General features: G+C 39.1%; 1 annotated feature.

The window, feature by feature from the left end:
• Nucleotides 253-854: an enhancer, noted in NCBI's record as "OCT4-NANOG-H3K27ac hESC enhancer chr5:18669117-18669718 (GRCh37/hg19 assembly coordinates)". NCBI's record gives its function as "activates a minimal SCP1, AML or CMV promoter by ChIP-STARR-seq in primed H9 embryonic stem cells {active_cell/tissue: H9 hESC(primed)}" and the evidence as "EXISTENCE:reporter gene assay evidence [ECO:0000049][PMID:30033119]".

A 14,610-nucleotide genomic window follows, 5' to 3' on the forward strand; every position in this document is an offset into this window, starting at 1 on the left:
GGGGAATTAGTGTAGTTAAAAGGGAAATGAGCCAGAAAAAGGGAGGAAAGATGTAACATCAAAGAGTTAATTGAGAAGCAGACTGTTTCACGCACGTCCATGTGAAGAGACCACCAACCAGGCTTTGTGTGAGCAACATGGCTGTTTGTTTCACCTGGGTGCAGGCGGGCTGAGTCCAAAAAGAGAGTCAGCGAAGGGAGATAGGGGCAGGGCCGTTTTATAGGATTTGGGAAGGTAATGGAAAATTACAGTCAAAGGGCGCTGTTCTCTGGTGGGCAGGGGTGGGGGTCGCAAGGTGCTCAGTGGGGGTGCTTTTTGAGCCAGGATGAGCCAGGAAAAGGACTTTCACAAGGTAATGTCATCAGTTAAGGCAAGGACCAGCCATTTACACTTCTTTTGTGGTGGAATGTCATCAGTTAAGGTGGGGCAGGGCATATTCACTTGTTTTCTGATTCTTCAGTTACTTCAGGCCATCTGGGCATATATGTGAAAGTCACAGGGGATGTGATGACTTGGCTTGGGCTCAGAGGCCTGACATTCCTGCCTTCTTATATTAATAAGAAAAATAAAACAAAATAGCGTTGAAGTGTTGGGGCGGCGAAAATTTTTGGGGGGTGGTATGGAGAGAGAATGGGCGATGTTTCTCAGGGCTGCTTCAAGCGGGATTAGGGGTGGCGTGGGAACGTAGAGTGGGAGAGATTAAGATGAAGGGAGATCTTGTGGTAAGGGGTGATATTGTGGGGATGTTAGAAGAAACATTTGTCGTATAGAATGATTGGTGAAGGCCTGGATACGGTTTTGTATGAATTGAGAAACTAAATGGAATAACAGAAGGAGAAAAACAGGTATAAAAGGTCTAAGAATTGGGATGACTCAGGATATCTGATTAGAGAGTGCCTAAGGAGATTCAGCATAGTCCTGCCTGCAAAGATTATTTATTTACTTCAAGAGTTAAGAGTGGCAGTTTGGGGATAGCACCAGGAGATATCAGCTGTGATGGCTTGGGAAAACCATGTAAACCAGCCGTGTAAACAAGAGCAGGGCATGTATGAGTAGTTGAGAATGGTGAATAGGAGTATGACTAGACAGAAGATAGTAGGGATGACAAGTTTTTGGGGCACAGTCTAAGTTGGTCTGGTGTCTGGAATGCGACTGGGGCCTAATAAAAAGGAGCGTCTATACAGGAGCTTAAATGGGCTGTACCCTGTAGCATTCTGAGGACAGGCCTGAATTCTGAGAAGGGAAAGTGGTAAAAGTATTGTCCAGTCCTTTTTAAGTTGGTGGCTGAGCTTGGTGAGGTGTGTTTTTAAAAGACCTTTAGTCCATTCTACTTTTCCTGAAGACGGAGGACCATAAGGGATATAAAGGTATCACTGAATACTAAGAGCCTGAAAAACTGCTTGGCTGATTTGACTAATAAAGGCTCATCTGTTATCAGACTGTATTGAGGTGGGAAGGCTAAACTGAGGAATTATGTCTAACAGGACGGAAGAAATGACTGTGATGGCCTTCTCAGACCCTGTAGGAAAGGCCTGTACCTATCCAGTGAAAGTGTCTACCTAGACTAAGAGGTATTTTAGTTATCTGACTCGGGGCATGTTGAGTAAAGCTAATTTGCCAGTCCTGGGTGGGGCAAATCCTCGAGCTTGATGTGTAGGGAAGGGAGGGGGCCTGAATAATCCCGGAGGAGTAGTAGAATAGCAGATGGAACACTGAGAAGTTATTTCCTTGAGGATAGATTTCCACGATGAAAAGGAAATGAGAGGTTCTAAGAGGCGGGCTAGTGGCTTGTACTGTAGCATAACCTGCCTTTGCTGGTGTGTGGCGATTAGGCCTGGTGGAACCGCCATCAATAAATCAAGCGTGGTCAGGGTGAGGAACAGGAAAGAAGGAAATTTGGGGAAATGTGAATATCAGGTGGATCAGAGAGGTACAGTCATGAGGGTCAGGTGTGGTATCAGGAATAATGTGGGAGGCTGGATTGAAGTCCGGGCCAGGAACAATGGTAATTGTGGTAGACTCAACAAAGAGTGAGTACAGCTGAAGGAGCCGGGGAGCAGAAAGTATATGCATCAGGTATGAGGAAGAAAATAGATTTTGGAAGTTATGAGAACTGTAGAGAGTGAGTTGAGCACAGTTTGTGATTTTGAGGGCCTCTAAAAGTATTACAGCAGCGGCAGCTGCTGCACGCAGACATGAGGGCTAGGCTAAAACAGTAAGGTCAAGTTGTTTGGACAGAAAGGCTACAGGGTGCGGTCCTGGCTCTTGTGTAAGAATTCTGACCACGCTAACCATGCCTAGGAAGGAAAGGAGTTGTTGTTTTGTAGAAGGTGCTTCGGTTTGAGAGATCAGTCGGACACGATTGGCAGGGAGAGCACATGTGTTTTTATGAGAATTATGCCGAGATAGGTAACAGATGAGGAATAAATTTGGGCTTGATTGAAGTAATGGGGGCTGTCTGTGAAGCTTTGCAGCAGTACAGCCTAGGTAATTTGCTGAGCTTGATGGGTGCCAGGGTCAGTCCAAGTGAAAGCGAAGAGAGGCTGGGATTTAGGGTGCAAAGGAATAGTAAAGAAAGCATGTTTGAGATCTAGAACAGAATAATGGGTTGTAGAGGCAGGTATTGAGGATAGAAGAGTATATGGGTTTGGCACCATAGGGTGGATAGGCAAAACAATTTGGGTGATAAGGTGCAGATCCTGAACTAACTTGTAAGGCTTGTCTGGTTTTAGGACAGGTAAAATGGGGAAATTGTAAGGAGAGTTTATAGGCTTTCAAAGGCCATGCTGTAGCAGGCGAGTGATAACAGGCTTTAATCTTTTTAAAGCATGCTGCAGGATGGGATATTGGCATTGAGTGGGGTAAGGGTGATTAGGTTTTAATGAGATGGTAAGGGGTGCATGATCGGTCGCCAAGGAGGGAGTAGAGGTATCTTATACTTGTGGGTTAAGGTGGGGGGATACAAGAGGAGGACGCAAAGGAGGCTTTGGATTGGGAAGAAGGGCAGCAAAGAGATATGGCTGTAGTCCAGGAATAGTCAGGGAAGCAGATAATTTAGTTAAAGTGTCTCAGCCTAATAAGGGAACTGGGCAGGTGGGGATAACTAAAAAGGAGTGCTTAAAAGAGTACTGTCTAAGTTGGCACCAGAGTTGGAGAGTTTTAAGAGGTTTAGAAGCCTGGTCGTCAATACCCACAACAGTTATGGAGGCAAGGGAAACAGGCCCTTGAAAAGAAGGTAATGTGGAGTGGGTAGCCTCCGTATTGATTAAGAAGGGGATGGGCTTACCTTCCACTGTGAGAGTTACCCGAAGCTCGGTGTCCGTGATGGTCTAGGGGGCTTCCAAGGCGATCCGGCAGTGTCAGTCTTCAGCAGCTAAGCCAAGAAGATCTGGGAAGGAGTCAGTCAGACAGCCTTGGGCGAGAGTTCCACGGGCTCTGGGAGTGGCAGCCAGGTGAGTTGAACAATCTGATTTTCAGTGGGGTCCCACACAGATGGGACGCGGCTTAGGAGGAATCCCGGGCTGTGGGCATTCCTTGGCCCAGTGGCCAGATTTCCGGCATGTGTAGCAAGCTCCTGTGGGAGGAGGTTCTGGAGGAACGCCTGGCCGCTGCGGTTCAGGCGTTTGGATGTTCTTGTGTGCTGGAGATGTGGCTGGGGTTTGTCTCACAGTGGAGGCAAGGAATTGCAACTTTTTTCTATGATTGTACACCTTGAAGGTGAGGTTAATTAAGTCCTGTTGTGGGGCTTGAGGGCCGGAATTTAATTTTTGGAGTTTTATTTAATGTTGGGAGCAGATTGGGTAATAAAATGTATATTGAGAATAAGATGGCCTTTTGACCTTTTAGGGTCTAGGGTTGTAAAGCCTCTCAGGGTTGCTGCCGAAGGAGACATGAACTGGGCTGGGTTTTTATATTTGATGAAAAAGAGCCTACACGCTATCTGATTTGGGATAAAGAAAAAGCAGCATTAACCTTGACTATGCCTTTGGCTCCAGCCACCTTTTTAAGAGTAAATTGCTGGGTAGTGGGGGAGGGCTAGTCACAGAACGAAACTGTAAGCCGGACCAGGTGTGAGGAGGGGAGGCGATAAAAAGATTACAGGGTGGAGGGGCTGAGGCTGAGGAAGAATTGGGACCTAGCTTGGGCTGGTGAGGAGGGGAGAGGTCAGATGGGTCTGTAGAAAAGGAAGATTAGAAAGACTCAGCGACGCTTGGGGTTGGGACTGAGGGGACAGGCGGGAGGGAAAGAAGGAAGGTTTGGGACGAGTTGCACTGGGCACAGAGACTAGGAAGGGACTGATGTGTAAAAGAATGCCTGGACGTCAGGAACCTCAGACCATTTGCCCATTTTACGACAAGAATTATTTAGATCTTGTAGGATGGAAAAAATGAAAGTGCCATTTTCCGGCTATTTGGAACTACTGTCGAGTTTGTATTGGGGTCAAGCAGCATTGCAGAAGAAAATAAGTCATTTAGGTTTTAGGTCAGGTGTGAGTTGAAGAGGTTTTAAGTTTTTGAGAAGACAGGCTAAGGGAGAAGAAGGAGGAATGGAAGGTGGAAGCTTACCCATAGTGAAGGAGGCAAGCCCAAGGAAAAGAGTAGAGACATGGAGAAGGGGTGGGGGGTTCTAGCCCTCCAGAAAAGCAGAGAAGGGGTTGGGGCATGGAAATAAGGGATTGGGGCACAGAGATAAGAGGTTGGGGTGCAGAAATAAGCGATTGGGGGGTTCTTGCCCCCTAGGAAAGTGGGACTTGACACTAAGGGTGAAGGAGAAGAGGTTGAGGGGTACTTTCCCCTGCCCCAGGAAAGCGGGACTTGCCACTAAGGGTGAAGGAGAAGGCGTTGAGGGGTACTTGCCCCTCTCCCAGAAAAGTGGAGAAGGGGTAGAGATAAGGAGAGAAGGGGTTGGGGTACTTGCCCCTTCCCCAGAAAAGTGGGACTTGCTGCTAAGGGTGAAGGACCAAGGCAGGTGTCCCTGCGTGGTCTGACACCCTTGAAATGTGGGTGTACAATCAGAGAGGCATCCCTGCAATGATTAAACACCAAGGGAAGGCTGCCTTCCCAGTCCGTGACCGGCACCGGAGTTTTGGGTCAACGGATAAAATGTGTCTCCTTTGTCTCTACCAGAAAATGAAAGGAATTGAAATTAAGAGAAGGGAGAGATTGAATTGTGGTGCCAAGATTGAAAGGAGAAAGAGGTTGAGAGATAGTGAGGGAGGTTGGAGAAGAGAGTAAAAAGAGTCCGCTTACCGTATTTGAAATTGGTGAGATGTTTCTTGGGCTGGTCGGTCTGACGACCTGAGGTCATAGGTGGATCTTTCTCACAGAGCAAAGAACAGGAGGACAGGGGATTGATCTCCCAAGGGAGGTCCCCCGATCCGAGTCACGGCACCAAATTTCATGCGCGTCCGTGTGAAGAGACCACCAAACAGGCTTTGTGTGAGCAACATGGCTGTTTGTTTCACCTGGGTGCAGGCAGGCTGAGTCCGAAAAGAGAGTCAGGGAAGGGCGATAGGGGTGGGGCCATTTTATAGGATTTGGGAAGGTAATGGAAAATTACAAAGGGGGTTGTTCTCTGGTGGGCAGGGGCGGGGGTCACAAGGTGCTCATTGGAGGTGCTTTTTGAGCCAGGATGAGCTAGGAAAAGGACTTTCACAAGGTGATGTCATCACTTAAGGCAAGGACCAGCCATTTACATTTCTTTTGTGGTGGAATGTCATCAGTTAAGGTGGGGCAGGGCATATTCACTTCTTTTGTGATTCTTCAGTTACTTCAGGCCATCTGGGCGTATATGTGCAAGTCACAGGGGATGTGATGGCTTGGCCTGGGCTCAGAGGCCTGACAGACTGTTTATGAACTAATAGGAATTTGAAAAATGTTTGGATTTTAATGATATTGAGATGCAAAGACCTTGGAGAGTTTTCGGCAGAGAAATGACATAGGACATACACATTTGATATCTCATGATCAGATTCTATATGAAAAATACATTATATGGTCAAGAATGTATATGGGAAGACAAGTTAGGACACCGTTGTCATGGTTAAGTCAAGGCTAAGTAGACAGTATTGAAATGATGGCCAGAATTCTTTATTCAATGTGTTCAGAATCATCTTTCTGAAAGAAAATCAAAATTTGTTCTTGTCATTGTTTTGCTTAAACTTCCTCACTAACCTTTCATTTTCCTCAATATTAAGTTAAAATTTTCCAACAAATATTTCAGGGACATTTATTACCTGCTCCGTGTTTGCCCCTTGTCATGTCTTTAGGACACCAGTAACAGACTTAAATTAATTTCATGTATCAAAAAACCTTTTTTCTGTACTTTCCCAGATGATTTTATCCTATTTAGCAAATACTCATTCTGTTCATTCCATCTCTGTCATCAATTTACTTGGCAAATTTCTACATGTCCTCAGGTCTTAACTTAAATGTAACTTCTTCCGGAAAGTCCTTCATCAGCTTATCTACCATATTACAAACTGCTCTGTGGTTTTCATAGCACCTTGCGTTCTGCTTTTTGACATGGATTAGGCTTTATTTTTATTTCCTTTTTTACTTCACTCCCTTAGTGGCTGACATTTTCTCTCTATTTCACCAGAATTTTATTCCATAGCTTTTGAACAGTTGCAGGCACTTAGTAGAAAAAATTGTTAAACAAGTAAATATGTATCCCCATATTTGGTTTCCTATAAATTTCCATCAAACTGGATTTTTATTCTATACAGAATAAGGATACCACTATTTGTCTTAGGTTGAGCTGCTATAACAAATTACCAAAAACTGGGTGGTTTAAACAAGAAACAAATATTTCTCACTGTTTTGGAGGCTGAGAAGTTCAAGTTGAAGGTACCAGTAGATTTGTTACCAGGTGAGGGTCTTCTTTCTGGTCTGAAAATGGCCTTCTCATTGTATTCTCAAATGGCCTAATGAAAATCATCTCTCTCATGTTAATTCTTATTAGGGCACAAATTCCATTCATGAGGGTTCCATCTTCATGACTTAATCACCTCCCAAAACCATCACATTGGGAGTTAGTATTTTAATATATGAATTTTGGGAGGACAAGACATTCAGTCCATAACACTATTTACATTAACATGTGAGATGCTTTTATTTGTTTTTTATATCCACAATTAATTGATCAAGACATGAATCATTAGCTTTTAAATGCTCTGTTATCCTGTTCTCTTTTATTAAAGTTATTTGTTCTCTAGCTACAGATGACTATTATGTGCTAATATAACTTTAAAATATTCACTTTCTCAGATATGCCTTATACCATTTATGCTCTATATGCATATCTTTTATTTAATTAGAGAGTCTTACTGAAATGTTGGCCAAGTAATGCCATAAAATATTTTATATTAAATATTTTTGGTTGAAGAAATATAAGACAGAATTGTTGGCCCAGGTAAGTGCTGAACACAAGGTTTTATTTAACAAAAGACAAAAAAATGGTCCCAATATTAAAAGAGAAGATGATTTAAAAATCATTTTCCTTAGTCTGTCTTGTATTTTGAAAAGAATTTATGGGAAAAAAATGGTGAATCTGTAAGTCCTTTTTGTTCCTACTAGATGTATCACACCACAAGATGTATGTGTGCTAAACCACAGCTATTAGTAATTAGGAATTATTTCGGTCACTCTGAGAATTCCCACAGATGTTTGACTCTGTTTACTGATTGTTCGCATGTTTGTTTTCTTCCTACTCCCTTTGAGAAGCAAGCAGAGGCTCCTGAGATGTCACCAATCTAAAATGATTTGAAGAATAGCCTAGTTTTATCAGCTCTACCATTATTGCTTTAGAGAAAACTGTAACCCTGAGAATCTTTTGCTTAAAATTTCCTGAGTTTAGAACAAAAGAAAGAATGAGGAAAATAGGACATCGTGTTTCCTATTTTAACTATAGTTTTCTTATTTATGAGCCCCAATTTGAAAGCTTGCAAATTTAAATGTGCAGCAAAAAGTCAATTCTACATATGCTGGGAAAGTTAGGAGTGAAAATTCGTCATTCAGCAATTCAAATCAAGCCAGAAGCCATTCTAGAAAGGAAATCACATTTTAAATTCTTTTATTTGAAATTTCTCTGTTTGTATACAGATGTAGCCCTGATTGAATGGGACTTATTTTTGAATGAGAGTATACCCTAAGTTACTATTTTTCCCTTTGTTCTCTTCCAATGCTATGGAGGCACTGACTAATTTGGCAATTACTAGTACAGACAAATATACTCTAAAATTCTATCATTTAAAGTAAAAAAAAATATATGTACTTGAGCTCTCATTCTGTTTCAAGACTGCTATGTTAGAAAAACAGTTATTTCCTGCTTTGTCCCCATTTATAAATTGTGTGAATGAATATGAAATCACACACCTCCTTTAGTTTCAATTTTTGACTCACTGAATAATCTATTACTTTTTATTATTATAAATGTCCAAATAAAGTTATCTTATTTTTCTGTAAATTCCTGAGTTGAAAATAACATACACATATATAGTTTTAGATAAATTTCTCGTAGTGACTATTTAGGTTTATTCAAAATATAAGAATATTTAATAATAGCTTATGTACAATTATCCTAGTAGGGTGAATTACAGAATGTATCTTTCTTTCAGATTTTGTTAGGGCTTTTGAAACTTTTCTGTTTCCAAGCTATCTGCTATAGTGATAGAGAGAAACATTTGGTCACATGAAATTTGTTGAGAGGGTCATTGCCAAAAACCAGTCGTGACAGTCCATGTTAAATGAATGAATATATTCCCCAATATTGTAGTTTTGTATCATAGCAATATTATAGTTTATTTTTAAAAGGTTAATATAACATTCTTTCTGTATTAATAATCTGTAATAAATTTTATTGAAATTTATTCACTATAAATTCACCCACTTTAAGCGTACAATTTATTTTTATAAATTCATAAAATATATATATTATTTTGTAAATTTATAGAATTCTCCAATCATCCCCACAATCCAGTCTTATAACATTTCTATAACCACAAAAAGTTCCATCATCCCTGTTTGCAGTTACTCCGTGCTCTAGGCAAATATTAATTTACTTTCTTTCTCTAAAAATTTGCTTTTTCTGAACATTTCATTCAAGTAAAATTATATCACATGTAGTCTTTTGTGTCTGTTTTCATCCATCGTCCATAACATTTTTGAGGTTCTTCCATATTATCGCATGTACTTTGTTCATTTTTAATGTTGACTAATACAGTATTGTACTGTAGGGATATTACAATATCTTGTTTATGGACTTACAAGCTGATGAACACATGGATTATCTTCAGTTTGGGGCTATTAGGAAGAATACTGTTATAAGCATTTGCATACTTATCTTTTGGTGAATGTATGTTTTTATTTCTCATGGATAGAATTCTAGAACTAGAATTGTTGGTATAGGGTAAGTTTATGTTTAAGTTTTAAGGATATGCTAACTTTCTAGATTGGTTGTATCATTTTTCATACCCACCAGTGATATTTGTTGAAAATATAAAGAAATTGAAATACTCAAATGCTGCTTGTGAATATGAAAAACAACTTTATTTCACCTTCCTTTTTGAAGAAAAATTTATCTCGATATTGATTATTGGTTAACAGATTGTTTTGAATATGTCATTTACGCCACTACACTGTCTCTGGTCATGCTGTTTCACGCAAAAAGGCAGCTGTTAAACGTGATGATCCCTTCCCCCAGCCTCCTCCCCTACCATGTAATCAGCTGTTATTCTCTTTCTGCTTTCAATGTTTTCTCTTTGACTTTGACTCTCAATAACTTGACTATAATGAGTTTAGTTATGAATCTCTATTTTTCCTACCTGAGGTTTCAATTTTTTTTTTGAATGTGTAGATTAGTAGTTTTCATCAAATTTGGCAAAGTTTTGATGGTTACTTCTTCCAGTAACTTTTCTTCCTTGTCTCTCTCTCCTTTCTCCTGAGATCATCATTAAATATATGTAGATATAGTTGAAATTGTCTCATAGATCTGTGAGACTCAGTTAACTTTTCACCAAGTTTTTTGTCTTTATTCTTCATATTGGATAACTTATTTTGATCTGTCTTTAAATTGAACAATTCTTTAGTGTGGTACCTTAAATCTACTGTTGTGCACGTACAGTAAACTTTTAATTTTAATTTTTTTTCAACTCTGGAATTTCTATTTAGTTCTTTTCGTAGTTTTTCTCTCCCTATTAAGAATTCCTCTGTGTAAATTTATTGTTGTCAAACTTTAATTATTTAAGCATGTCTTCTCTGTCTTTTTAATATATTTATAATAGTGTCTTCACAGTATTTATCTGCTAAACCCAACACTTGAGGAAACTCAGAGACAATCCTATTTAATGTGATATTTTCCTGAATATGGGTAGCACTTTATTTTTTCTTTGTACATTTCAAAAATTTTAGTTGAACACTGGACATTTCTAATATTTTGTTGTAGAAACTCTGGATTCTGATAATTTTTTTCTTCCTGAAAATTGTTGTTTTCTCTTTGTTTAATAACTAGCCTTGGCTAAATCTATGAAACCTATTTCTCATGTAGTATGCGGTCAGTGCCACATATTGGCTGAGTTATTTGACTATATTTCCCTTTATTCTTATACATGACTGTTGGGCTTACTCTTATATCTTTGTAGTTGAGTATTCAGCCAATGATGGAATACAGTGGACCCAAATATTTTCGAATTTTTAGAGGTTTAATATATTAGTACTCAACTAATTGTTGTTTAGATTAATACAGGAAATTCCTAACAAAATTATTATTATTGTTGTTATAATATGAATTTACAGTAACATAAAATAAAAAAAAATTTCTCTGACACCCTAAGGTTAAATAATATTTTATTTTTAGGTTTCCATTTTTTGAATGACTACAAAATATTTCCATTTCTTCTGGTCATTTTTATCACTTTATATCAAACTGCATGATCTTGATATGTAGATGAATAGAAAAGATCTAATTTATGTCAAATACAAATAGTACATGCCAATATCTTCCTAATAAGTGCATTTCTGCAATAGTAATTTTCAAATATCTGTAACTAATAATTAAAATCTATATGAAAGGGGAAATATCAGTAATTGATAATCATATATTTCAGAGTAGTTTCTCACAAATGATTAGAGACCTCATGTAGAGAGAAAGAGAAAGGGAGGGTCAACTGGCAGTCAGAACCAACATTCTTGACATGGGATTGATATTTTTGACTGCCTAGTCCCAGAAGAGTCCCAATCAAATAAATATAGGGCCATGAATGAGCTCAGGCCAGTCCAGCTTTAGAACAACCACACTAAACAGCTTAACTTGCAAAATGATAAGCAAATACTGAATTCTTGTTATTTTTTAAGGAATTACATTTAAGATAAGTTTTTATGCAGTATTAGATTGCTAATCCAGTTTGTCTCTTAAAAAGAAATTGTCACTCATGAAGAAACCCAAATGGAATGTTTAAGTTGTGCTTTAAAGAAGAAAACTAGTATATATATATATAGAAAGGCAACTCCATTTTTATGAATAACAAACATATCAATTACAACTACAATTGATTGAGTAATCTCCATTTAAACTTTAAAGGGGAATTACATAATACATATACTCATGACTATCTTGAAATATTTGGAAAATCATAGAAGAGTACGTACTGAATATGTCATAAAAATCCTACTAGTATAATTAAAGTTACTTAATTGTAGTATAAGGCTATGAAAGTCATCTGTTGATTTCCATGTACAAGAACATGTATGAAAGTGAAGGAGATCTTATCAGTCAGAGTTCCAGCAGAAGTATGAACACTCAAGATGGATAATTTGTCTTGAGTTAATAAATTGTCTGTGTACAGGTGAATGGGTAGGCTTTTAGAAAATTGAGAAGTGAGCCGGGCATGGTGGCTCAAGCCTGTAATCCCAGCGCTCTGGGAGGCCAAGGTGGGTAGATCATTTGAGGTCAGGAGTCCGAGACCAGCCGGGCCAATATAGTGAAACCCCATCTCTACTAAAAATACAAAAATTAGCCTGGTGTGTTGGTACACGCCTGTAATCCCAGTTACTCAGGAGGCTGAGGCAGGAGAATTGCTTGAACCCAGGAGACAGAGGTTGCAGTGAGCTGAGATCGCGCCACTGCAGTCCAGCCTGGGCAACAGAGTGAGACTCTGTCTCAAAAAATAAAATTGAGAAGTGATAATGTAGTATCCTCACTTTAGTAAGAATGGGAAGGCTTAGCTACTCCTAGACAAGGTGAAGAAGTTGCATTCAAACAACACTGTTTAAGTGACCTGGCAGGAAGTGATCCAGGTTATTTAATTCCCTCGAATTATTCCTCCTTTCTCTCACAGTGTTTCCTGATGTGATTTGGCTGTGTTCCCACCCAAAATCTCATCTTGAATTGTAATCCTCGCAATCCCCATAATCCCCATGCATCAAGGGAGAGACCAGGTGGAGGTAATTGAATCAAGGGGACGGTTTCCTCATGCTGTTCTCATGATAGTGAGTGAGTTCTCACGAGGTCTGATGGTTTTATAAGGGGGTCTTCTCCCTTTGTTCAGAACTTCTTCCTGCTGCCTTGTGAAGAAGGTGGCTTGATTCTCCTTCACCTTCCACCATGATTGTAAGTTTCCTGAGTCCTCCCAAGCCATGCTGAACTGTGAGTTAATTAAATTTTAAAGAAATAAAATTTTCTTTATAAATTACCGAGTCTTGGGCAGTTCTTTACAGCAGTACGTAAATGGACGAATATATTACAGCCTAGTGGAGCTGTGAGAAGAGGGCCACCGTCCTACAGACCCCAGAATGGTAGATCTGTCCACAGCTTGTACCATGTGCTTGGAAAAGCCACAGACACTTAATGCCAGCCTGCAAAAGCAACCAGGAGTGGGCCTGTACCCTGTAAAGTCATAGGGGCGGAGCTGCCTAAGACCATGAAAACCAGCCTCTTGCATCAGTGTGACCTGGATGTGAGACATGGAGTCAAAGGAGATCATTTCAGAGCTTTAAGATTTGACTGTCTTGCTGGATTTTGGACATGCATGGGGCCTGTAGTCCCTTCATTTTGGCCAATTTCCCTTATTTGGAATGGATGTATTTACCAAATGCCTGTACCCCCATTGTATCTAGGAAGTAACTAACTTGCTTTTGATTTCACAGGCTCATAAGCAGAAGGGATTTGCCTTGTCTCAGATGAGACTTTAAACTTTTACTTTTGGGTTAATGCTGAAATGAATTAAGACTTTGGGGGACTATTGAGAGGGCATGATCGGCTTTGAAATATGAAAGGGACATGAGATTTGGGAGGGGCCTGGAATAGAATGATACGGTTTGGCTGTGTCTCCACCCAAATTTTATCTTGAATTGTAATTCTCATAATCCTCATGTGTCAAGGGAGAGACCAGATGAAGGTCATTGAATTATGGGAACGGTTACCCCCATGTTGTCCTCATGATAGTGAGTGAGTTCTCATGAGATCCGATGGTTTTATAAGGGCCTGTTCCCCATTTGCTCAGCACTTCTCCTTCCTGCTGCCGTGTGAAGAAGGAGCCTCGCTTCCCCTTTGCCTTTTGCCATGATTATGTTTCCTGAGGCCTCCCTAGCCATGCTGAATTGTGAGTCAATTAAAACGCTTTCCTTTATAAATTACCCAGTCTTGGATAGTTTCTTTACAGCAGTGTGGTAGTAGACTAATACATTGCCCCTTAACCAAATCCAACATGAAGCTTAAAAGACGAGAACTATTTAATGTAGTCCATTCATAGTACCCAGAGCAAAGGAATAAATTTGATCTGAGGGGAAAATTAAAGACATCTAGCACTGAGGTCTATTCAGCTTTTTATTTTATTTTTAACACAAACAAAAACTGCTTTCCTAGTTCGTATTTCAAAGAGGTTACTTTATACAACACTATGCAATTATACTCTAAGGATAAGCAATGTTCAGTTTCATAATTTCTATATAGCTTTATTGCTGTCTACATCCCAGACTACTCACGTTACCAATTTACTTTTCTTCTTTAAACACCTCTTTAGATATGTATGTGAATCAGATATTTTGTCACTGGGTGGTTAGAGATTATCATAATAAAAGCAGCAAGTAAATGACATAAGTTACTTTTAAGCAAGATAAATCCAATTATTCTTAATGATAGAACCTGTAGAAAGATAAACATTAATGAAAGACTTCTAAAATATGCAGTAAATTGATCTAGAAAAGTATAAGTGTTTCTCCATCATAAAATTTAATACAATAGAGTAATTATTAAAAAAATTACACATAACTTAGGTTCTAACACCCAAATATCTGTTTAGATGTTTTGCTTTCATAACGTGTGCAAGAATTGTTACATGTGAAATATAGTTGGCTAACATTTCAAACTTCATCTCTCTTTGTATGCTTTTATTCAATATTTCATTTACTCATTAATTTTTTTATAAATATTAAGTGCCTTCTAGGTGTCAAGGAATTTTCAGGTGCTTACAAAATCAAAGCCTACCTTCAGGGAATTCATTTCTTTTCAAGTTTTTCAAAAGTAACTGAGTTTCTGACTATCAATTTTGGAAAGCTTTCTGTCATATTATTATACATTTTATTGTATCAATGATAGCACATGTTAAACTTTCAT

This window comes from Homo sapiens, chromosome 5, assembly GCF_000001405.40.
Source record: "Homo sapiens chromosome 5, GRCh38.p14 Primary Assembly".
NCBI lineage: Eukaryota > Metazoa > Chordata > Mammalia > Primates > Hominidae > Homo > Homo sapiens.